Source organism: Homo sapiens, chromosome 8 (genome assembly GCF_000001405.40).
Source record: "Homo sapiens chromosome 8, GRCh38.p14 Primary Assembly".
NCBI lineage: Eukaryota > Metazoa > Chordata > Mammalia > Primates > Hominidae > Homo > Homo sapiens.
In genome coordinates this window covers 51,392,925-51,419,225 of record NC_000008.11, presented here as the reverse complement: position 1 = coordinate 51,419,225, position 26,301 = coordinate 51,392,925, and the positions used below count along the sequence as shown (strand labels likewise).

The following is a 26,301-nucleotide window of genomic DNA, read 5'->3' as shown; positions in this document are numbered from 1 at the left end:
TGTATGAAAATAATGCTAGGCAATGTTATCTCCTCTGAAATTCCTAGGTAAGTGTCTAATTGTCTGTGTGGCACCTCATTTTGGTGGACCCACAGTCCTTGCAATTCCTCATGTTAAAAACTGATTTTGAACATATTCGAATCTGAACCCCTGGTCTTTCCCCGAGGACCTTGTCTCCTCCTAGCATGCCTTCATAGCAGAAGCAGGAAGCTGAGCCCTCACGATTTATCTTCCTCCCCAGCTCCCTTACTCCAACTCAAAGCCTCCCTCGTCTTTCCTTCCCTAAAATTGCTTCTTTTCCACTTCTCTTCTTTATGTGACTCCTGTTCTATGGCTCAGCCTTTCATCATTTTGAACGTAGGTTTGGAAATAACTTTCCAAATTATCCTCCCACCCATAATATTTGCTACTTCAACTGTATCCTTAACCCAATAAATTATTATCAAACTAAACTGATTGAAGATTTAAGGCTACGTTAGCTGACTTTAGGTTAGTGGGACCTTTTCTTTGAAGTTAATGAAATAACCTATACTAAACTCATAGGAATATCAGTAGTAAAAATAAACAGTTAACATTTATTGAGCATTTACCATGTGTTCCAAATGCTATACATTAATTAACCTGTTCAGTTCTTGTGAGTTCTAGTTATTTTCCAAAACTCTGTATAAACAATTCACTATTTGAATTATTTGACATTTTAATCCCAATATTTGTCATGGGGTAGACAAACATCAATTTCTAAGCCACTGAAGTTGTTGCAGAGTTATAAGTGGACAATAAAGTATCAAAATATTTTCATTAGTTATATTTATTCAAACATTAATGAAGTGAAATTGGTAACTGAAGAGTTTTAAATTGCTATTTTACTACATTTTAAAATTTACTCTGAATAGGGTATAAATTAGTTTACAAACTAATTAAGAGATACATGACAATCTTTGCTATCTTGCCAAGCTTTTAATTTTGTTTTCTATTTTATTTTTGTCAAACTTTAATAATACAATGAGTGGGGAAATATTTTTGTAAACAACAGCATCTACCTAGTATACATACACGTATGTTTGTATTAGCTTTATGTTAAAGGTAACACATTTCTCATCCATTTTATACATAAAATATACAGTGACCACATACTTCTATCCTGAGATAAATGCTCTCAAAATTTTAACATATACATTTTAATATGTGTAAGTAGCATTTCCAGATTTTTGGTGTTGTAGTGTTTGAATAGTTTAAACATTATAAAGAAAACAAATAAAACGTCTTAATCTAAGCACCATAACCTTAAACAAAGTAGATGGTGCCTTTCCTTTTCCAGTCTCTGAAAAAACAGTGGAGCTCTCCAGGGCAATGAATTGGTTTCCATGTTTAATGATGCAAAGTGATGAGTAAGACAGATTCTCTGCTGTTTAAACAAAATGATTTCATAAAGGCAGTCATTACCATCAGTGTGTATGGTAATGTGGACCTGTCTCTGGTGTCCTGGGACAGCCCTCACATGTGTCAGTTTTAGCATCACTCTTTATAGGGAAAGACTGAGTATGATAAGACCTATTTGGTTACGATAGTTACATTATCTGCTAATTTTCTTCCCCAGGGGGAAAAAGGGGGAGGATAAAAAATACTCAAAACCCAATTGGTAATTGTGAAAAAATCTCAGCCTTTATTGAGGTCTAGGCATTTTTTAGCAAGGGTGACAGAGGAGCACAGCTGTTTTGTTTCTGCATCCCATCTCTAGGTCCAGTCCCCAAGTCACCCAGAGCCAGGCCTTTCATGCAGAGCAGTGAGTGGCCACGTGGCCTAAGCTCCCCCTTTTCTGAAAGGACTCAATATTACCATTGGATTTTACCATCAATAGTAGTGATAGCCTCATAGATGCAGGGATAGGATTGCAAATAGATGTGCATCAATAACTTTAAACATGTTTATTTTGTAAATATACTGAAGCCTTTTTCTCATTTTTATTACCCTGAGACTTAACAAAGAAAAATGATCTAGTTGTCCCTCTACTCCTGTAAAATTTTGCATAAAAAGATGGAGAATATGCTCAGAATTTTCTGATTGTTCTATTCCTTAAGCCATTAACTGAGATGATTTTTGAGACAAATAACTACAACAGTATTGATTAATTCTAATGTGTCCCCAACACATTGGATTTGCTTACATAACACAGTGCTGTTCTAAAGAAATTTATAAAAATATTTTTGCAGTTTGTACCAAATCAAACAAAACAACACTGAAATCAAATGAATAATAAAAGAGTTAGTTTTAGTTTACTCTTAAACCACATAAACTTAAAAAATCATAACTGACATAAAAACGAGAAAGCTTTATTATCAAGAATGTTTTTGTTTGACTATATCACGTATTTAATGTGCTTTTAAGAATCTGAACAACTTTATGTGTTTTCTATTTGTGTAGTTTAGAGCTTAAATATTTCAAAAAATATTTGCATACAATTCCATTTTTAAAATTTTCTTCTCCTTTTCACTTTTACACACTGGTTGACTTCTGATTCATATAAATAAATAGCAAATCATATTGACAGTATAACACAGTATCAATTGATAATCATGTGAGGATACAGATTGCCTATAGGTTTTAAAACACATTAATCGTGAAAGCCACCTTATATGTGCATTGCAACATGCAGTTTTAAAAGAATTTTGCGTATCTTTGCTATCTGATAAACACATCAGCCCTGAGCTCTGTGCTGAGCAAGGCTTTCTCTCTCCATTTAATGGATGAGCTAACAGATGAAGACAAGTGCTGCAAAATCCCTATGCTTGTAAATCTTATACAACTATAACAGCAAAACAATTTTATAAACAGAATAAAAGCAAAAACATCAATCCAATTCACATTCACATATTAAATGATGGTTTCCTGAAATTTATACTTTATATCAACTTCTGTCCACCATTGTGAATAGCCTTTTAAGTTTTGGCATCTCAATAGCACTATGTCCTGTACGGTAACTCAGTCCTAGCACACAATCTTCTTACTTCCAAATCCACGTAGACCTTTGATAACATATTTTGTCCCAGATGCAGTAGCCCAATGACAATACTTGTCACAAACAGAAGCATGTAATTAATGCTGCTTTCTATATTTGAGGTCCAAAAGTGAAGGAGTAAAAGGGACAAAGAAAAAGCTAATATGTTGATTAAATAATCAAGTCATACATGCCAGTGCAGATTGATTTGATTGATTTTAGTTTCTTTATTTCTAAGATAAAAGTAAATTAAGTAGGCTCATTCCTACTGACTTTTTTTGAACACATAAGCAGACTAATGTAGCTATGTTTATAGTATTGTTTTCTTATAATCACAGTAATTATATTGATTGATTCCTCAATTGGTTAACTAATTAATTCATTACCTTTTATGTCCATACTCTGCTTTCATCATCATTGCTATATATGTAACAACTATACTACATCTAAGTATTATATATTTTAATTCGATCATTTTATGGTTATCTCTTTCTAGTTTTCGAATTTTTACCTTAAGCATCTTTTAAGTGTCCATCCATGTATGCCCAGACAATTCTAACTGTTGCATGACATTCCACGTTGAACATCCACCACATTTTCCTTGCACACTGGTATGGTTTAGATTTGTGTCCCTGTCCATATCTCATGTCCAGTTGTAATCCCCAGTGTTGGAGGAGGGGCCTGGTGGGAGGTGATTGGGGTGAGTTTCCCTCTTGCTGTTCTTGTGATAATGAGTGAATTCTCATGAGATCTGGTTGTTTAAAATTGTGTAGCCTCTCTCCCTTTGCTCTCTCTCCTGTTCCAGCCATGTAACATGTGCTTCCTTCCTCTTCATCTACCACTACTGTAAGCTTCCTAAGGCCTCCCCAGTGATCCTTCCTGTACAGCCCGAGGAACTGTAAGCCAATTAAACCTCTTTTCTTTGTAAATTACACAGTCTCAGGTAGTTCTTTATAGCAATGCGAGAACAGACTAATACACCCATACTTCCACTGTTGTACAACCAATTTTCTACAATTCCTACTGCACAAAGTTGCAATAAACATTCTCATACATACCCTTGTGGATTTCAATTATAATTTTTCTGCATATATGCATGGGATTGAAATTACTGGATGAGAGGATGTGTGCATATGCAATATTACAAAGTAACAACTGCCATCTCCCCCCCGCCAAAGAAGGCTCTAAATACAATCCCCAAAATAGGTGTCAATTCCACAGTCCTATCAGTCTGCCTGAGGATTTATAGGAACTCTCACTCCTGTCAAAATTTGGCTTTAATCAGCTTTTTATTTTTTGCTAGAATAAGCATAAAATGGTAGTTCATTGACACTTTTTCATTTCTGAGGTTACAAGTGATTTTGAGCATGTTATATCCTTATTAACTTTTGAGCTTTCCTCTTTTATAACTTGCCTATATATTTGTTTCTTAGTGTATTATAACGTTTCTTTGTATGAAACAGAATATCATTTCTGCCTCAGAGTTTGAGATTGCAAATATTGTCAGCTATTTGTGTCATTTATTAGTTATTTTGTTCATGTTCTTGAAATTGTTAATTTCATCCAATTGAATTAATCAATTTTTGTCTTTTTTTCTTTCAATTATCTTTAGCTAAATCAATCCCATGTATTTTTTGGACTAGGAAAGGCAACATTGGCCATTTAGAGCCTCAATCTTGTGGTCATCATAAAGGCTGCAATGACTTGACAGTGGAGCCACCCTACTTACTCAGAATTGCTGCACATAATCTAGTTTGCCAAGAAGAATTTTCAGTATGGTCCTGAATTTTATTCTTTCCTTACAATATTTCCATACCATTGGTATTTTTTTTCTTAAAATTATTTTATGTTGGTGGTCTTTTTAAGACAATAAAATCTAGGCTATATAGATGGTCATAATATACAGGAATTTTCCTGTAATATCTAGATGGAGAATGCTATATGGGCCCATCTATTGTCAAATATATATGCTTAAATATGTATAGAAACACATATATAGATATATACATATAATATGTATATATCTATCATACTATATTGTGGTAACACCTTGACTTAAGCTTATATTAGTTACTTCATTGGGAGTTCTTTTGGATAATACATACAATACCTTCCTATTACTATTCAAGTTTTTAATCACTTTTACTTCCCCTAAATGACATTATTTTCAAACTCAACATTTAAAGCTATATTGACTTTTGCTTTCAATATTTAGCAGTGCCAAAAAGTTATTGTTTTCATTGCCTGTGTCACATAAAATGTTACTGTACTTTTAGTATCTCAAAAATGAACTAGATACTGTGCTGATTATTTCTCTGATATGAACTGTAAATATTCATTCGTAATTATTTTTATTTAGTATTTGTTCCTTTACTGTTAAACTTCTTAAACCATTATTTGAAGAAGATTCAATAGCCTGGAAATGATCAGCTGTAAGTAAATAGCTTCCTTTGTCTACAGGATTCAACTTTGCAGTATTTTCACATGTTAGAGAGCTATAAAAAAAGCATAAATTAATTTTCCCATAAATCTTATTGAGAGTTCAATTCTTGCCTTAAGAAGCCTCTATGGGATGGGAGAATATTTACTTTGCTTTAATGTTTAACATTAAAGCAAGGTGGCTGAAGAGATAGGTATTTCATACCTTCTCCAAGATGACAAATTGCTGACATACTTGGATCCTGTGTGAATCAGCATTGTTCAAAAGGAAATATTTTACATAGCTTTACTAGATTTTGGAATACTTTAATTCCCTAAATAACATTATTATTGTTAGATGAAGCCTTGCTTCAAGATAATTACCTACCTCTCTGCAATGGGCATTATCATGTAGATATTGTATAACATTTTCATTGTCTTAGAGGTTTTAAATGTAATGGCATTACATTTAAAAATGTAATGCCATTCATATAATATCATGCCTAACTTCAAGGTCTGTTTGATATTTTTAATCATGGAATTGATTTTCAAAGCTATACAGGGTAGACAAGCTGGCGATGACTTTGTTGAATCTTCCATTCTTGATGCTGTACAGAGAGTTGACAGTGCAATTAACTCCACACGAAGACATTTGTTTTCACAGTAAGAATTTATTTTACACAGATTGAAACCTTGTTTTCATTTCTGTTCTACTTAGTTTTTATCATCTCCATAAGTCACATTATAGTGCATATGCAATAGAGTGCTTTCTTTAGTCCTTGTGTATGCATCCCCATCTGGGCTAGCCATCATTATCAGTTCACCCTAAAAAAGGGGAAACTTCTTCCCCATAGAATCTAAATGGCATTAATTTATGCCAAAGGTCCATGCTATACAGGCTGACAATAGACACTAGGCAATGGGCTGGGTTACCTCAGCATCCACCAAACAGTGTCAGATGCAGTGCTCCTGCAATGTGTGAATTGAGAATGATTATCAAGTTGAACACACCTTGGTATAAACTGGGAGCCTACGACAAACATTATGTTTAGGATATTTGGCATTTTACATTATTTTAATTTGAATTGGAATGTTCATGGACTAGTGAAACCTTCCAATCCCATTAACTTCTCTGTGTTTGTAACATCAGGATGCATTAACAAAAAAATGATTGTTGATTTCATCATAATCGGATAAAGTATATATTCAGTATTTGCAGTTAGTGGTCAAAAAGGGACATCGTAAAATCCCAAATTGAGTCTCTTCTGGCTTCCTGCACATCCATAAATAGAATGGCTTTGTGATCATGCATGTGTGTTCTAGAACCACGCAGCCGATTTAGATTTATATTCTCTTCCTGATTCCTCACTTCATTACTTTCTGTCTGGGTGACCTTGAGCAAGTGACTTAACATCTTTGTACCTCAGGCTCCTTGCTCTCTAAAGTTGGGATAACAGTAGGATCTACTTCATGGATGTGCTTGCTAGGAAGAAAAAATAAGATAATATGTAAAAAGTGCTTCAACAGTGCCTGGAGAATAGAAAGTGCTTAACCAAAGTGAACTATTAGCATCATTATTATTATTCTGTGACCTCAAGTAGTTAAGATTCAAGACATAGAGGATGAGATGTGCCTCAGTTGATCAAAGTCTCTAAAACAGTTTGCTTCACATTCTCAGTGCTTTTAAATTTCTTTTTAACATATTTGGTTCAGTTCTACAAATGTGCATAAACTGCTATTATGTGCTGGTCAGTGGGCTTGGTATTTGGGATACAAGATAAATAATAGGTCAACATCTCATCAGCAACCTAGTTCTTTCTTTAGCAGAGGAGACAATATGTCAGCAATTCAAGTACATTTTACTGAGTATATAAGACACATATTTAAGGATACAGGAGTACTAGAGAAGATGGAGTGATAGCTTGTCAGAGCTCTCAGTGAAACTCTACAGGGAGAGTGAGGCCTGAGGAGGATTCTAAAGGCAAGGAGGAATTTCTAGGAGATTACACTCAGGGAAAGAGAAGACACAAAATGCCAAGTCCTGCAGACCGAGAGTATTGCATAGTACTTCAGAAGGTTTACTGAGCCTCCTATAATCCATTCATCAACCGACCCCCCCAGTTTAGAACCCCACCATAGATGTTGTTTCCTAAAACTATTGTTTAAATCATCCATTCATTAAAAATATATATTTTTGAGTTCAGCACTGGGACTAACATTTGGAATAAGTTGTTAGCAAAATAGGAAAAGAACCCACAGCTCCTCTGTAGAGCCTCTATTGTAGTGGTGGAGCTTTCATTCTTCTCGAATGTTTGGGAAATGCCTTTTTAAATGCACAGTATTTGCAAGCTTCATGGACTCTGCTGTTTTGCCTTGTAAAGAATCATGTGTTTTGTCATTTGCAGAAAACCTCACACCTCCAGTGACCTGCTGGCTCAATTTCATTACCCGCGTGACCCACTGATTGTGGAAATGGCAAGAGCAGGGGAGATTTTTGAGCACACGCTGCAGCTGATACGGGAACGTGTGAAGCAGGGGCTCACTGTGGACTTGGAAGGCAAAGGTCAGCCACAAAGCCATTTTATTCTCAGCCTACTGCCCACAGAAAAACTGACCACCACCTTAGCAAAGGACACTGAACTTTTAATCTCCAGAATATCATGGGATTTAGAAATTAATTTACTCACTACTTTTACCAAATAAATGCAGATGTTTCTCATAGGAACTGTAATTCCAAAGTAAGGATGATAAATATATATTCAAACTTGTCTCAACTTTTAAGTTATATGTATAGAGAACAAATCTAGGGAACCTACATTAAGTGAACTTGTGTTTCAAATGTAAAAGATATTATTGTGTCTTATAGAGAAATGCTTTATTACCAGGGGGATATTCTTCCACTTATCCTTTCAATCACCTGAATCATTCAGTGAATTTACTTGAAATTTCTTCTACCACTTATAATATTTATAATACCTCCCCAGTTCTTTTGATTTTTGTTTTTTTGTTGTTGTTGTTTTGTTTTTTGGTATATCCAAGTTCTTGTGTATTTCTTTTTAAAACCAGACATCTAGTTAGTAGATGTCAAATGAGATGATATAGAAAGCTTTCAGATTTTCTAAGTTGTTCTCTTTCAAATGAAATAAGTGAATGTGATTCTTTGCTATATACTATTTGTGCTGTGAGTACAGCATCAATTTCTATTGGCTTACCCTTTCTTTATTCTCCTTTAGGAAATCAACCGAGACGTGGTGCAGAAGGCCTATCTGTGAGCTTGCCTCAGCCCTTAGAGCTCTGTACAATTTCTCTAACTAACTGGCATTTGACTGTCCCTGGTCACCCAGTATGATGGGTTTTCAAAGCTTCCTGAGGCAAAATATCCAGATACCCAAGATTAAGATATCTCAGGATCCAGCCAGGGACTGGCTAACATGGATAAAGTGCAAATGGTCCCATTATTGCTTGCCAGTTTCTGAAGATTAAATAAGGATGGTAACTTTTAGTATGATTAGTGAACAATCTTTGTAGCACTGGGAGAATGCTGGAAGTTTAAGCCCTGTTAAAAGGTAGAGCTCCAAGCATGTCCCTTATTATTTTGCCCGTTTGCCAGGGAATGACAGCTTATAGTAGTTCAGAAAGTTGTTGCTTAATCCCTCCTTGTCAAGTATCATGTGGGTTAATATTCACATGATCCATATTGATATTTCTTTGACCTTGTTCTCTAGAAGCACAAAACTTGAGAGAAAAAATTCTGAAATGAAACAAACAAAAATCAACAAAACAATTCTGGGATGTGGAAGAACAAATCCTTGCCAACATCGTTCTTGTAAAGGCACAGAGTAGAAGTTAGGAGCTGGCTGGCACCTGTTCTCTTTCCATTTTGCTTCTTCTAGCAGCTAGCCATTGTTTACAGGATGAACAGCACAAAAGTAATCCCGGGTCTTCTGGAAACATCTTTTAGTGTCTGGCTGGCATCTGCTCTCCTTCCATTTTGCTCCTTCTAGCAGCTAGCCATTGTTTACAGGATGAACGCTCAAAAGTAATCCCGGGATCTTCTGGAAACATCTTTTAGTGTTATAGAATGATCCCCCCTTTTGTTGTGAGCTAACGAAATGTTTTTGGAAGTAAGAAAGGCCTCTTTTCACTCAGGGCGGGCGGGGTGGGAGGTGGTTCCCGCAGCATCTGGAGTTCCAAGTTGCCCGCGCCCTCCCAGGCCCGCCCTCCTCACGGCTTTCGCCGCTTGCCTTTCAGAATTCCGGTACAATGACTTGGTGTCCCCGCGCTCCCTCAGCCTCATCGCCAATTTATCTGGATGCACAGCTCGCAGGCCTCTGCCAAACTGCTCCAACCGGTGTTTCCATGCGAAGTACCGCGCCCACGACGGCACGTGCAACAACCTGCAGCAGCCCACGTGGGGCGCGGCGCTGACCGCCTTCGCGCGCCTGCTGCAGCCAGCCTACCGGGACGGCATCCGCGCGCCCCGCGGGCTCGGCCTTCCTGTGGGCTCCCGCCAGCCCCTCCCGCCGCCCCGGCTGGTCGCCACAGTGTGGGCGCGCGCGGCGGCCGTCACCCCCGACCACAGCTACACGCGCATGCTCATGCACTGGGGCTGGTTTCTAGAGCACGACTTGGACCACACAGTGCCTGCGCTGAGCACAGCCCGCTTCTCGGATGGGCGGCCGTGCAGCTCCGTCTGCACCAACGACCCTCCTTGTTTCCCCATGAACACCCGGCACGCCGACCCCCGGGGCACCCACGCGCCCTGCATGCTCTTCGCGCGCTCCAGCCCCGCGTGTGCCAGCGGCCGTCCCTCTGCGACGGTGGATTCAGTCTATGCACGAGAGCAGATCAACCAGCAAACAGCCTACATCGATGGCTCCAACGTTTACGGGAGCTCGGAGCGGGAATCCCAGGCTCTCAGAGACCCTTCGGTGCCTCGGGGTCTCCTGAAGACAGGCTTTCCTTGGCCTCCCTCCGGAAAGCCCTTATTGCCCTTTTCTACAGGCCCACCCACCGAGTGCGCGCGACAGGAGCAGGAGAGCCCCTGTTTCCTGGCCGGGGACCACCGGGCCAACGAGCATCTGGCTCTGGCCGCCATGCACACCCTGTGGTTCCGGGAACACAACAGGATGGCCACGGAGCTGTCCGCCCTGAACCCCCACTGGGAGGGAAACACGGTTTACCAGGAAGCCAGGAAGATCGTGGGCGCGGAGCTGCAGCACATCACCTACAGCCACTGGCTGCCTAAGGTCCTGGGGGACCCTGGCACTAGGATGCTGAGGGGTTACCGAGGCTACAACCCCAACGTGAATGCAGGCATCATTAACTCTTTTGCTACTGCAGCCTTTAGATTTGGCCACACATTAATCAATCCTATTCTTTACCGACTGAATGCCACCTTAGGTGAAATTTCCGAAGGCCACCTTCCGTTCCATAAAGCGCTCTTTTCACCGTCCAGAATAATCAAGGAAGGTGGGATAGACCCGGTTCTCCGGGGGCTGTTTGGCGTGGCTGCTAAATGGCGGGCACCCTCCTACCTTCTCAGTCCTGAGCTGACCCAGAGGCTCTTCTCCGCGGCTTATTCTGCGGCCGTGGATTCGGCTGCCACCATCATTCAAAGGGGTAGAGACCACGGGATCCCACCATATGTTGACTTCAGAGTTTTCTGTAATTTGACTTCAGTTAAGAACTTTGAGGATCTTCAAAATGAAATTAAAGATTCAGAGATTAGACAAAAACTGAGAAAGTAAGTATGCAAATGCTGCCTGGATTTAAACATTTCTTAGGAGAGGTAAAAGTGTTAAAGGTCATTTTGTGTGGCTGGAATTTGGTTCCCTGGGGGTGCTGCAGAGCTTTTAGTACTTGTTATTGTTGGAGAGGTTTAATATTAAAGGAAGGATTCACCAGAAACCGAAATCCCCCTTTCTGCTCCTTTTTCTATCCACCTCCTTGGAAATGCAAATATTGCTGCCTCCTATTAACTTGCATTTCAGTTAGGAGAGGTGAGGTAAGCATATCTAGCCCATTCGTGTTCTGCGGTAATCCAAGCAAGGCCCTTTTGTTGATATGAGGCCATACATTCGATATAAATTCATAAAATAAACTGGCCGATCACATAGGCCTTCTTAGGGAGAGAAAAGTAGTGATAATAAAAACAAATTATTTTTTGTGGTAGTTCTAAATTCATGGTCGGAATTTAAGTTAGGGCTTTTTCACTGCATCCTTAATGTCTTTCGGTAAAGTATTACTGTTAACTTTTTCTACATACGGGATTTGAAGTTTCATTAAAACTACAAGTATACATTTCCAGGAATGAGATTCAACTGTTCCTCATGGTCACCAACATTCCTCCTTTAAAAATATTTTTTTAAAAACAGTTTCACAAAGAAGTTTTGTCTGTAGTAGGTTAAATATAGGAGACTAATATTTATTAATATTTTAAGGTATATTTCTGTGAAATATTTCAAAGAAGTTTAAAATTATAAGTTCTATAGCCAATTGTCAAGATTAGGCCTTTCTTTGCAAAACTAAGGCTATAAATACTTCTGTGTCAATAGAATTTGTCACATATGTGGAATCTCAAACTGTGAAAATGTGTAATGTATTTAAAAGAAATCAGAGTACCCTGCAGATTGAATTTGCACATTTCTTTTGGAAAGGACATTGATTTGGATTCACGAAGACCTGGTTTAAATCTCTGTTCTACCACCCAATAGTACCGAGAGCCTGTGAAAAGTAAACAGTTTTCAATCTCAGGATACCTATAAAATGAGAAAGTAGCACCTTCTTCTCAGAATTGTTTAAAGATTAAATTACATAAAATGCATCAGATACTTGGCCCCATTCCTCCTGCATCACAGGCAATCAATAAATGTTAGCCGTAGATGTTTTATTATAACATGATCATTTCAGTTGTCAGGGACATTACGATATTGCACATCTGCTCAGATGTAGCCCTGTGGTAGGCGTGGGAGCCGAGATGACTGAACAGCATCCACCAGGGAAAGCCTGACAGCGTGCGGGGGAGCCGGGGAGCTGCTGTGACCAGTGTGGAAAGGGCTTGGTAGAAGTCGCGATTAAATGCTGTGAGCACACAGAGCTGAGAAATGGAAGGCTCACAGCAAGCCACTGATAAGAGATGTCATTTGATCTGGTCTTAGAAGTTTAAGTGTAAGAGGCTAGATGATGGGGGAACACCAGGTGGCATCTGGGGTGAGGGACTGGAAGCAGGAAGGCATGGGGTTGAGTGTCAGGAGGAGAGAACAAAGAGGTAATAGGGGACGGGTTTTAAAGAGGCTGTGTGCCATGCAAGGGAATCTGATCTTCACTCCGTATTTAACTCTAAAGCAAGAGAGTGACCTGAAGAGAGACTCTTCCCTGACATGGTAACTGGCAGGCATCTGGAAGGTGTATTGCAAGGAGGAGAGACTAGCATAGGAGCCAAGAATCCAACAGCTGCTAGAGTCATCCAGGAGAAGCTCAAAGATGGCACAGATAGGCTTGTGGCCATGTATGCAATCCTATCAGAATTTTAAATGTTTCCTGTGGGTAGATTATCTGGATTGGAAAAAGTTAGGGGTATGACGTCTTGTGCAATTTGAGTCTCACTTCTCAATTGGCAGCTAACTTGTAAATTCACCACAAATTAGAGTACCCGGAATGTTTCTTCTTACAAATTTCCTGTCCCAAATTCCTCCTAAATCATGTGGTTCTAGTGTTAGCTGTGTTAGCCTCCACTGTCGGCCACTGTCCATCCTTACAGTGGCTGATGTGAAGTATGAGTGGCCTTTCAGACGGACAGCAGCTGGGGAGACTTCATTGAGCATTCACTCAGTAGCCTTTCTATTTGTTCCTTTCATGCCTATGGGATATTGGCCCCAAGAGTCTGTGCAGCCTAAACATTGAGTCATTATCCTTGCCTGGGAGAATGTTTGAACTAGTGGAACTCTATGCAGCCTGGTGCTTGGCATCAGCCAGAGGAGGAGAGAGCATTGCTGACTGGCATGGGTGGGTTGCCAGAAGTCAGTAGAAGCCAGATGCTTTTTGCTTAGGCTGTCACAGATGCCTGACTTTCCCCTTTCATTAACGGCAAATTTGTAAAATATGAAACATATACTCATTCAACTATGAGTGCAAAATAAAATGGTTTTTACGGTCAGTTCTCAAATATGTAGATTGCAATTTCTCAGGAGCTGCTGAAGATGATATAGCTTTAAGTAGTTTAATTTACAAAGTATTTCTTTATCTTATTACTTCTTTTCCTTTTTGTATTAATTTACAAGTGTGGTTTTAGGACTTTGTTTTTAAATCACTTCAGTCCACTGGGTGGAGGCCCTTGTCTCTGCCTCTAAGATGTATCTTGAGCCCCGCATCCTCACATGGCCAAGTGGAGGGAAGACAAAAGGAGCAAATGTCGTGTGAAGCCTCTTTTATAATTCATTAATAACTTTAATGAGGACTTCACCCTCATTGAGAGGTGACGGCATGCTGGCAGCCCTCGCAGCAATCCCTCGCTCTGGGCACCTCCTCGGCCTCGGTACCCACTCAGGCCGCTGTTGAGGAGCCCTTCACCCCGCGGTTGCACTGTGGGAGCCCCTTTCTGGGCTGGCCCAGGCGGAAGCCGGCTCCCTCTGCTTGCCAGGAGGTGTGGAAGGAGAGGCGCGGGCGGGCCAGCGCCAGTTCTGGGTGGGCGTGGGCTCAGTGGGCCCCGCACTCCCAGTGGCTGGCCGGGGCTGCCGGCCCCAGGCAGTGAGGGGCTTAGCACCCGGGCCAGCAGCTGCGGAGGGTGCGCTGGGTCCCGGTGCTGAGCTCGAATTCTCCCAGGGCCTCAGCTGCCTCCCTGCGGGGCAGGACTCGGACCTGCAGCCCACCATGCCCGAGCCTCCCCCAACCCTTGCCGTGGGCTCCTGTGCAGCCCGAGCCTCCCTGACGATCACCGTCCCCTGCTCTGGGGCACCCAGTCCCATCGACCGCCCAAGGGCTGAGGAGTGCCGGCGCACTGCGTGGGACTGGTGGGCAGCTCTGCCTGCCACCCTGGTGCAGGATCCACTGGGTGAAGCCAGCTGGGCTCCTGAGTCTAGTGGGGACTTGGAGGACCTTTATGTCTAGCTAAGGGATTGTAGATACACCAATCAGCACTCTGTGTCTAGCTCAAGGTTTGTAAATGCACCAATCAGCACCCTGTGTCTAGCGCAAGGTTTGTGAATGCACCAATTAGCACTCTGTACCTGGCTAATCTGGTGGGGACTTGGAGAACCTTTATGTCTAGCTATGGGATTGTAAACACACCAATCAGCACTCTGTGTCTAGCTCAAGGTTTGTAAATGCACCAATCAGCACTCTGTATGTGGCTAATCTGGTGGGGACTTGGAGAACTTTTATGTCTAGCTAGGGGATTATAAATGCACCAATCAGGACTCTGTGTCTAGCTCAGGGATTGTAAACACACCAATCAGCACCCTGTCAAACCAGACCAATCAGCTCTCTGTAAAATGGACCAATCAGCAGGATGTGGGTGGAGCCAGATAAGGGAATAAAAGCAGGCTGCCTGAGCCAACAGTGGCAATCCACTCCGGTCTCTTTCGACAGTGTGGAAGCTTTGTTCTTTCGCTCTTTGCGATAAATATTGCTGCTGCTTACTCTTTGGGTTCACACTGCCTTTATGAGCTGAAACACTCACCCCAAGGGTATGCAGCTTCATTCCTGAGGCCAGCGAGACCATGAACCCACCAGGAAGAATGAACAAGCCCAGACAGGAGGATCTAGTAACTCCAGACATGTGGCCTTAAGAGCTGTAACACTCACTGCGAAGGTCTGCAATTTCACTCTTGAAGCCAGTGAGACCACGAACCCACCAGAAGGAAGAAACTCTGAACACGTCCGAACATCAGAAGGAACAAACTCCGGACACACCACCTTTAAGACCTGTAACACTCACCGTGAGGGTCCGCAAGTTCATTCTTGAAGTCAGTGAGACCGAGACCTCACCAATTCCGAACACATCATGACCTAATCACCACCTAAGGCCCCGCTTATTAATACCATAACATCGGAGATGAAGCTTCCACATTTGAATTTTGGGTAGACACATTTAGATCATAGCGGTGCGGAAACCCAATCCTAAAGCAGATGGCAGCTGTCTGTGAAAGACCTGGCTGTGAGTGCCAAGAAGGACATTTGAGATACATGAGAAGTAGGGTAAAGACTGGCACCAGGGCCCGTGTGATATGTGTGAGACGTGTAAAGCCATGGGTCTTGCTGCACCAAGGAGTCCAATCCTAGAATTAGCATCGGACTCATCTCACCCCCAAAACATTAAGATGCGCCAGGGAAGCTGACACTTTTTTCTAAGTGGAATTGTACATGGAACACTGCCCCTTAGAGGGGAGGACAGCAGAGGAGTTCCGGGAGAGGTGGGTGGGGGCTGGGTGTGGTTCCTTGGCATCTACTCCTCAGAGTTCACTGCTGTCAGATCCACAGACCACAGCATTTGCCAGAAGGATTTGTGACATGTACAAATATCCTGCCTCCTTCAGTACCAAGAGCTCAGGAAATCTTTTTTTCATTTTTTTCTTGGTCAAAAGTGTTTTATTATTTTTTAAAGAGCTTATTTTATTCCAGGATCATATGAAAATGAATTATTTTCTTTTTATAAGATTATTCTTGCTCTCAAGAATCACACTGTTTCTTTTTTTTTCTTTTTCTTTTTCTTTTTTTTTTTTTTTGGAGAGGGAGTTTGGCTCTATCGCCTAGGCTGAAGTGCAGTGGCGATCTCAGCTTACTGCAAGCTCCACCTCCCGGGTTCACGCCATTCTCCTGCCTCAGCCTCCCCAGTAGCTGGGACTATAGGCGCCGGCCACCTCGCCCGGCTAATTTTGTGTGTGTGTGTGTGTGTGTGTGTGTGTGTGTATTTTTAGTAGAGACGGGGTTTTACCATGTTAGCCAGGATGGTCTCGATCTCCTGACCTCGTGATCCACCCGCCTCAGCCTCCCAAAGTGCTGGGATTACAGGCGTGATTACACCACGCCTGGCCACTCTGTTTCTTTTTATTGTTTCTAAAACATTTAATGAGCAGAAGGTGAAGATCAGTTATTCACTGAATGGTGAACATAAATTTCCAGAGAGGCCATGGGCCATTTTGAAAGCTATTTTTGAATCCTCTTTTGAAAATATAATACTGTGTGTAATTTTTTGTGGATACGGTTACTTTTGGTTTTGAGTAAGTATAAGTTTATTTGTCACTCATAATCACAGGGATGTGTAACTGCCTCGGCTTTATTTATTTATTTATTTTGAGACGGAGTCTTTCTCTGTCACCCACGCTGGAGTGCAGTGGTGCGATCTCGGCTTGCTGCAGCGTCCACCTCCAAGATTCAAGTGATTCTCCTGCCTCAGCCTCCCGAGTAGCTGGGATTACAGGTGCATGCCACCATGCCTGGTTGTATATTTGGTAGAGATTGGGTCTCACCATGTTAGCCAGGCCGGTCTCAAACTCCTGACCACATGTGATCTGCTTCAGCCTCCCAAAGTACTGGGATTACAGATGTGAGCCATCGTGCCCAGCCCTGCCTCCGCTCCTTAAAAGAATAGCTCATATTTCACCAATTAAGTAACTTGTATTCAGTATATGTACCTATTTTATGATAGCTTCACTCTATATTAAAAATAGACAAATTAACAAAAAATTCTTAATTTCTTTCCTCTTTCTACTCTTGGGTTTCAGGAGATCAAACCGCATGATTCCTTCCCAAAAACTTGCATTCTCTGTCTTTGTCTTCCTTTGCCCGAAAAGGTTGCCCCTTTCCTGTGGGCTTGGCTTTTCCTTCTTCTGCATGTTCAGCTGTCATTCCTCTGCTAAATATTTATCAACTTTCATATTCATGTCAGCCTTTAAAGACCTTGCATCGACACCACCCCGTCACCTTTCCTGAGTGTTTAGTAGGCCCAGGAGCAACTTTAATTGCTGTAAAACAGTGATTGTTGACCATTTCATGTAAGACCATTTCCCAAATCTAGTAGAATCTATGAACCTCCTTTTGCAGGAAGATACAGCAAAGAGAGAAAAATAGACCCAAATCTGTGTGTATTTTCAGAAGACTCACAGATTCCTGGGTGCCCCCTATTCCTTCACTGATGTAGTGTCTCTTCCTCGCTGGCATCTCAGACATAGGAAAAGGGTGCTTCTCTCCCATATGCCTTCAAATGGCTGCTCTCTTGGCCAAAAAGCAGCCCCCAGATTTGTGACTACCATGCGCTCTTAGTCAAGGACCAGTCCTTTTCTCCTATCCCATTTGGAGGCAGTGACTTTGTTCTTTACGTCACAGAAGGGTACTGAGCTGCTCAAACATAGCTGGGCCTCTGGAGGACCAGCGTCTTGTCTTCATCTCTAGTCTCTGCTGCTTTCTGTTCAGCGTTTTATTCCCTTCTCCCTCAGATCTCCTATCTCCTTACTTATGCATATGGTGCACTGATGAAGGCTCTCTCCTAGCTCCCAGGTTTACATAGTCTTTTATGGTAAAGCTAGCACAAGGGTTTTGAGTATCACATTTTTTTTCTAAACAATACTTTTATAAGGGTATTGTACAATTAGACCAAGTCCTGTTGTTTGACTCTAAATGCCAGTTTTAGAGCCTTGCTACCCCTGGTCATTTTCATTGCACAGTATTTCTGCTTTTCTAGAGAACATATTAGTTGAATGACAGGTTCCAAGAGTATGTACTCCTTGGTTGCAAATAAATTGTCTAATTTATCTTTGAATCCCCAGAGTTCAGTCCAGGGCCTAGCACAAAGCAGCTGCTCTCTAGATATTTCATTAGGGGAAGTGGGACATGCTTGGGTGAGACTCATTTTAATTTTCCAAGAGGCTTTGATTTGAAAATTATTCTTTGCTTGAACACCTTTGACAAGACAAATTTTCTTAGGTGAAAACTAGATTTTTACACTTATTCCTACCAATTTATTTTTTCATCAACTATTGAGTGGCATCAATGAACTATGATGTATTATAATCTTTTGTACAAAGGAATGAGAAGTTACAACAGAGAACAACACATTTGATTCTTACATGACCTTAACCCCAATTTCAAAAAGTTAAAAATGCACACACTTAACCAATCAAAACTCATTCTGTCAACACTATAGACCTGCAACACAGAAGACACACATGCCTGAGCAAATAAAAAGTGACAAGGCCATATTAAAAATAAGGTGGTCAGTCAATTATCCTCCAAGGTCCATTTCTTAGAAGGCGTGCAGCTCTATTTGTCTAGCAAAAACAGAGTGCAAAATAATTTAACGCCTTAAAGTATGACATTAATTTAACATCAGTTGTGTAGACAGTGGTGAGTCTTAGTAACGCGTTTTAGAAGTTATAAACAGGTTGAGCATCACCAATCCAAAAATTCAAAATTCCTGAAATGCTCAAAAATCAAAAATCCAAAATTTTTTAGTACTATCATGATGCCACAAGTGGAAAATTCCATCCTGAACTCATGTGACCAGTTTCAGTTAAAACAGGTGCACAAAAGCATCCTCAAGGGAAAAAAGACTTCCACAGCCCCCTTCAGCTGCAATATATCTTTTAAGGTGTGTGTGAAACATAAATGAATTTGGTGTTTAGAGTTGGGTTCCATTCCCATGATATCTCATTATGTATGTGCATGTATTCCCAAATCTGAAAAGATTCTAAATCTGAAACATTGCTGATCCCAAGCTGGATAAGGGATACTCACAACCTGTATGTAAATTCTTCACTTTTAGAATCTGCTTTTTATTCCTGCCTTTGAAAATTGTTTAGTACTATGATAGATTATTTTACAATTATAAATATTCAACTGAAGAAATCTTTACCATTATATTATCAAAATCTAACACTTACAGAAATAAAGACATTCAGTTGTTCCTCATTATATGCCATACAAAATCATAGCAAATATTTTATAGAAAACTTTATGCTTTATTTCACTTCTAAATTCTATTTTACCACCAGAGTATACATCTGAATGCAATTTAATGCATTTCGTCTTTAAATCCCCAAAATCTGACTAAACTAAACTAAATTTTCAGTTAACATCATGTATCAAAAGTGGCATGTGGTACAATGCACACATTTTAAGTGTACAATTTGATGCCTTTGAACAATATTCATACCTCTGTAATCATTACCCCAGTGAAGACAAAGAGCATTGTCATCATTCCAGAAGCATAGCTCATGGTCTTTGCAGTCTGTCTTCTCTTCCAGACCCTTCCCAGCAACCACATATTGGATTCCTCTCACTGTACATTCATTTTGTCTCTTCTAGAACTTCACATAAATTGAATCACACCGTATGTATTGTTTTAAGCTTATTTTGCTTGGAATGTTTTTGGAGTTCACCTATATTGTGAAGTGCACCTGTAGATCATATATTTTGTTCATTGTGAGTGGTATTGTTTGTATGAATATACAAATATTTGTTTACTCTTCCATTTGAAGCAGCCATTTGGGTTGTTTCCCGTATTTATCTCTTCTGAATAACTGCGATGAACTCTTACATGCACGTCTTTTTGTGGGCCTATGATTCCATTTTTCTTGAATAAAAAACCTAACAGTATAATTTCTAGGTCACTTAGTAACTCTGTATTTAACTTTATAAGAAACTGCCAAATTGTTACCCAAAGTGGTTGTAATATTATTCACTCCCACTGGCAGTGTAGAAGACTTTATATTTGCTTAATTTTTTTCTCCTGTCTGTTCTTCTGGTTGGAAATATTCTATTGATTTTTCTTGCTAGTTCACAGACTTTCTACTGTCATCTTCAATCTCCTCTTATATATATCAAGTGAAATTTTCATTTTGATTATTGTACTAGTTCTAGAATTTACATTTTTATGATTCTTAATTTTCTTTCTACATTTGTTTAAATGTTAATTCAATAAGAGCATACCTTCTTTAATTTGTTAAATACATGTATAATAGTGGCTTTAATGTCCTTTTCTGATAAATTAAACATCACAGCCATCATTCAGGGGTTCATTACTTTCCTAAGTGTGAATTCCAATTTTGCTTCCTTCTCTGTCTCGTAATTTCTAAATGCATATCAATTACTGTGATTCCGCCTTGCATTTGCATAGGTTTTGCTTTATGCTTCATTTGGGTGGGAATGTAGAAACCCCAGGAATGTTGCCTAAGCTCCGCTGATGTGGGGTGGCTGAACTTCCAAATGCTGTTGGCCATGCTAATCTTGGCAGGGCTTGGTTTTCAGCTCTGTTGAGTAGAGTTTATCCTTATAAGGATAGAAGTTATTCTGTTAAGACTTGGCAAGCTGCTGTCTGGCTGCTCTCTGGGTATTACTGAGGTGTTACAGCCATCACCGTGTTCTGATTCAACTTCCTGCAGCAGTTGCCCTGTGTATACCTCATGCAGTTCCTCTTGCTCAGGTGTCAGCCAGCCATCCCCAGGACTGTGGGGGGCCCCAAGGTAAATGTCTGCCCACTCCCCACCGCAGGTCCCGCCACCTGTTCCCAGCTGCTTCAGCTTTCCGGAACTGGGATGGCAGCCTCGAGTGCAGCTGCACCTTGCTGTGCTGGGATTCTAGTGCCCTGTGCAGTGTGGGCGAGATTTCTCCCGAAGGGAAACTGAGGCCACTGTCATGAGTTTCCCTCTTCTCAGGCTCCCCAGTCTTAGGCTGCTTGTTGTCCAGTGTTTGGAAGCTGTGGGCTCACACATGTTGTCCTCTTTTGTGATTGTTTATAATGGGAAAACTAGTCTCCTTTCCATCACACCATAGCCAGAAACAGAAGCTTACATTCATTCTAAATTATATTTTTCCCCTACAATTTTAGCTCCTGAGCAATTGTTTAAATGAAAGATTTTTACCATAATTAACTATGTGTCTTCACACCGGGGCCTGTTGTGGGGTGGGTGGAGGGGGGAGGGATAGCATTAGGAGATATATGTAATGCTAAAAGACGAGTTAATGGGTGCAGCACACCAACATGGCACATGTATACATATGTAACAAACATGCACGTTGTGCACATGTACCCTAGAACTTAAAGTATAATAATAAAAAAAAAGGCCTCTCCCTACTTAGACCTGAGTGTTCACAGCAGCTCTCTTTATGTCCTCCTGCAATGCATTTCTTCTTTTCTATGGCACCTAATATTGTTACCCCTGCAGAGCTATTTTTTCTTTAGTAATATTGCAGGACTTTGCACTTATTAATATTAAAATACTTACAGTACATTGCAACTATTTATGTGTGCAACCTCCATATTAAAATGTGAACATTCTGGAGGAGTATGGCTTATCTCCTTAAATGTCTAACAATGCCTGATTCTTAGTATTTGTTAAACAAGCAGAAGGATTAATGGATGGATCTCATAAGTTTTGTTGGTTTAGTTTTTTGTTTTTGAGGTATTATATTTCCTGTGGCCTTAGATTAGGGATTTGAACTATGTAAACAATTTGCATTTTTAACATACCTAAATAGCAAACCAGAAATTTAAACAACAGTTCCAAAATCTTTAAAAGTAATAGTATAATTTGGTCATAATTGTAACATGAATATAAACATTAGAACTGATTCAAAACCCATTTCTAGCTAAGGTACTAAAATTGGAATTGTTAGCAGGCATGCTTATATTTTATTTCATAAGTACAAGAATGGTCCGCAGTTGGTAATCACTTTAAGAACAGCAGTAAACTAAAATGTGTTCAACTTTTTATATATCTGCCCAAACCCTTAATAACATATTTTGGTTTTGTATCAGACCTAATGTATATATGGGTTCATTTATGACAGACGTGTGAAGACCACAGTTGAGTGGCTATGGCAGAGACAGCCATCAAAATATTCAAAAATAAAGTATAGCAAATAAGTTTACAGGTTTCAAGTGCAAAGTGACTGTTTAGAGGCTAAAAATATAAGTAAGTCCTTTTTTCCTTCCATGAGGAAAAGCTTGAAAATTGCTTCCAACACAAGATCTTGTAGCAGGGCTGATTGGAAAGAATATCTGGACTACAGTATGAATGGTTTATTTGTTTATTATTATTATTATTACCGTTATTTTTGAGACGGAGTTTCATTCTTGTTGCCCAGGCTGGAATGCAATGGTGCAATCTCAGCTCACCTCAACCTTTGCCTCCCACGTTCAAGCGTTTCTCCTGCCCTCAGCCTCCCGAGTATCTGGGATTACAGGCATGCACCACTATGCCCGGCTAATTTTTGTATTTTTAGTAGAGATGGAGTTTCTCCATGTTGGTCAGGCTGGTCTGGAACTCCCGACCTCAGGTGATCCACCTGCCTTGGCCTCCCAAAGTGCTGGGATTACAGGCATGAGCCACTGCACCCAGCCTGTTTATTTTTAAATCCCAGATTGATGTTTCTGTGCAGCCAGGCATTCTCAGGCCACAGTCATTGCTGAGTCATGTGGAGACACAGGCGCTCTGCACTCTGGTCGGGAAGGCCTCTGGGGACAGTGGGTCTTCCCACGTCCCTGTGCTGCACTACCCCATCCAGCAGCACATATGGTTCCTGCAGCCAGAGGCCTGCAACCAGGTATCTGGCGTTGGCGTGTGGAAAGAGAAAAAACTCAGTTTAGCCATCCATCCAAATCACACATCATACACACATGAATCTGCAGTCAAATTCCCATTCCCCGTCTAGCCCATCCCTTTCTTCTCGCAGGCATAGGTGGACTGCTGAAGCTGCGTTCCCTGCTGTAGCTGTGTTTATTGCCGATCTATAGAACCGATTTATTTCTCAGCCAAGTGCAGCTAAGATCCATTAGTGTCAGTACCTGTAGCAAGAGAGGTGTAAGTAGTCATAAATTAGCTATAATCTTAGATAATCTTCCTTTAGAAAAACAAGAAAGGAGCAGTGGGGAGCTGTGGGATTGTCCTGTGACAGTCCCATTACTCAGTGGAGTTCTGCTGGCAGAGTTGGGGGTGGTGGGCTAACTGCCCTGAGAGTAAATTGGAGTTAAGTATGGGTCTCATTAGGCAGTAATAGATTTTTTAAAGTTTTGGAAAGCTCTTTTATCCTCTGCCAAAACAAAAGCAAGCAAGCAAGAAGGAACATAGCCATTTATTTCCTGTTTTTCTATGTATCTCTTCTCAGTGTCCAGTCTTCTACTGCTTTTTCAGTTCCTCTATAACATTTCGTATCCTCTTTGAAACCAAATTATATCATCTTTTAATCTTTCTAGATCCTCTCTTTCACAGCTTCACCCTTTATTTTTCAATTCAATATATACTTAAAAAATATTGGTTGTTTCTTTTGTCTCATAATTTGAATTCCCTTTTTTCTAATCTCTTTAACTCCCTAAACCATTTTTTAAAAATATTTTCTTTTAGAATGACTTACCTCTTCTCTTGCATTGAATGCATTGATATCTACATTTCACAGACATTTATTAAGTCACTGTTATAAACCAGAATTTGAGGGAGAGGCAGCACAAGTGAATTGAACACCATACCTGCATCGATGATTTCTGGAGGGTGAGTGAGCAGGTGATAGTTCTGAATTGGTTGAGCCCCATCCCAGTCCTCTGAGAGCTCTTTTGTTGAGTGTGTTCACCCAGCATCTGGAATAGTGTCTACAAAGTCAAGGAGGGCCTGATGCTTATATGCACACACACTTTATGCACACTTGTGACTGTGTGAATACCCTGCAGGCCCTCTCTAGGGTCTTGGGAGTGGCCCTTGTGGTTAGGGCTCTGCAGAGTCATCTTCACTTGCTTCCTGGGAACTCTGCCTCTGGGTAGTTACTCAGCAAATACAGACCCATGACACATCCTTTCCCTTCCTTTGAGCAGGTTATATCTCATGGGGTTGCTGAATGTGCTCATCTTTGTGAAATGTGAGGCAGATGTGGGATGACCATTGTACCACATGTCTAGGACAGTCCCTATCTACACTTGGGGTCTTCCAAGGTGAATAAATACACCTTGTATTCCACAATCAAGTGCCTTTGTTGGATCCTGGGCAGAGCAGAGACTTCTAGGCCTATGTGGCCACAGGACCAGCGCTATGTACCCCAGGGCATTTTTGAGAATAAAAGAGGGCACTATGAATGCTAGTTAGAGTGAACATCCTTCAGGTCAAGATGCCACTTTAACACAGGGTTTGGCAAACCACAGCATGCAGGCTGGCCGTTGTTCTTATGAATAGTTTGTTACATAGTCAGACACATTTACTTAACATTCCCTATGTCCCACTACCTGGCAGAGTGGAATAGTTGGAACAAAGATTGTATGGCTTGAAAAGTCCAAGGGTATACTAGCCACCCTTTAAGAATAGTTTGCCGATGCCTACTGTTACAGAATCAAAGCACGATTGAAGAAGGATATTCTTTGATGAGTTTTTCTAATATGTCTCAGGACTTAGGAATGATACTGTTCCTCTTCAGAGTTATAATTTTCTCACCTCAATATGAGACAGTCAAATCAAAAAAGTCCCCAAATGGAAGCCATATTTTTCTTGTTAACCTCTTAGGTTTTATGGATGGGATAGCTTTACTCTAATAGTAATAATATTTCCTTCATATTTGGCTGGCGTTTGTTGCACAAAAAGGAGTGTTTTGTGACATATATCACCTCTCATTCTGTAAGACAATTTATTACATGAAGTGCTATTTTTTAAAATAATTATTCATGCTCCAACATATATAGAATAGTTTGAGGCAAATCTCTTCTGTATATGCCCTGGGCACATTCACACTTTTCATTAACACTTTTGTTATCTCATGAGCTGGTGTTAACTTTCCCAAGGACACGGAGTTGTCAACTGGAGAATGCAGGTTTTAATCTGAATCTATATGATTCCAAAGTTGATGCTTTTAGCCACTATATTATTTCCTGCGACTGCTGTAATGAATTACCATAAAATAGATGCCTTAAAAAAAGACAGATTTAATGTCTTGTACTTCAGAGGTCAGGAGTCGGAAATTGGTCTTGCTGGGCTAAAATCAGGGCTGTGCCCTTTCAGGAGGCTTCATGGGATGATTTGTTTCCCTGTCTTTCCCCCTTCTAGAGGCTGCCCACACTCCTTCGCTGGGGCCCCTTCTTTTCACTCTCCTATTCCCTTTTCCACTTTTAAGAACTCTTGTGATTACATTGGGCCCACCCAGATAATGCACAATGGTCTTCCCCTCTTGATATCCTTTGGTGAATCACATTGGCAAAATCTCTTTTGCCACGTAAGGTGACATATTCACAGGTTCCAAAGATTAGGCCATGGACATCTTTGAAGGGTGGTGCACTGCTATTACGCAACTGCCAATGTTTGTTTTTATTTTCTGTTTTGCTTCAGCTTTAGCATAGAAGGAGACTATGAGAAACAGCATAACCCAGCACTTGGCAATACAGCAATAAAGGCTCTGATGTCAGACCATGGTGTTACACGTGCTCTCTTCATTTCCTTCTCACTGTGGAGCCTTTTGTACTTGTTCTTAGTCTCATACTTCTCATCCCGAATATGACGATCATTGTATGTGTCTCATCAGTTTACTGAGAAGATGAAATAATTTAAAGTATGTCAAGAACTTAGCAGACTGCCTGGATGCTAAGTCTATGCACACATCTGAGTGCCATGTGTAAGTGAATCTGCATTGGTCTCCAATTATGGAAATTTAGGAAATTAAAATTCAGGAAAATTAAAGAAAAAACATTCTCTAAGTAAAGGTGGAAACCTGTCTTTCTATAGGTAGCAATTCTTTCCTTTTCATTTCAGAGCGGCATGACATTCACATAAAATGTATACTTCAGAATGAAAACACAGGAGACTGGCTTTAAATTAAGTAAAATTCATGGTCAGTGACATGTAACTCAGTATTTTCTTTTGCTCAGGAAATATATTTTCAAATGGCTGTAAGTGAGACTACTCCCAATAGTGTACTCTCTAATC

General features: G+C 40.5%; 1 protein-coding gene across 10 annotated transcripts in view, besides 1 other annotated feature; it reads left to right on the top strand.

The window, feature by feature from the left end:
- The window catches only part of PXDNL (peroxidasin like), a 489,869-nt gene that overhangs the window by 390,220 nt on the left and 73,348 nt on the right, over positions 1–26,301 (top strand). For 8 of the 10 annotated variants that reach the window (XR_007060701.1, XM_047421364.1, XM_047421365.1 and 5 more), the window contains 3 exons: positions 5,968–6,076; positions 7,819–7,976; positions 9,665–11,159. Coding sequence is in view for 9 of the 10 variants with exons in the window: in XM_047421364.1 (XP_047277320.1) it covers positions 5,968–6,076; positions 7,819–7,976; positions 9,665–11,159 (1,762 nt within the window). In the remaining variant the exon portion in view is untranslated. Of the gene's footprint in view, positions 1–5,967; positions 6,077–7,818; positions 7,977–8,646; positions 8,682–9,664; positions 11,160–26,301 lie in introns of those variants that run through there. The other 2 variants (XM_047421369.1, XM_005251168.4) reach the window with 2 other exon arrangements.
- Positions 23,183–24,382: an enhancer, noted in NCBI's record as "CDK7 strongly-dependent group 2 enhancer chr8:52307404-52308603 (GRCh37/hg19 assembly coordinates)". NCBI's record gives its function as "activates an origin of replication core promoter dependent on BRD2, BRD4, P300/CBP, MED14 and CDK7 cofactors, with strong dependence on CDK7, by STARR-seq in HCT116 cells {active_cell/tissue: HCT116}" and the evidence as "EXISTENCE:reporter gene assay evidence [ECO:0000049][PMID:35650434]".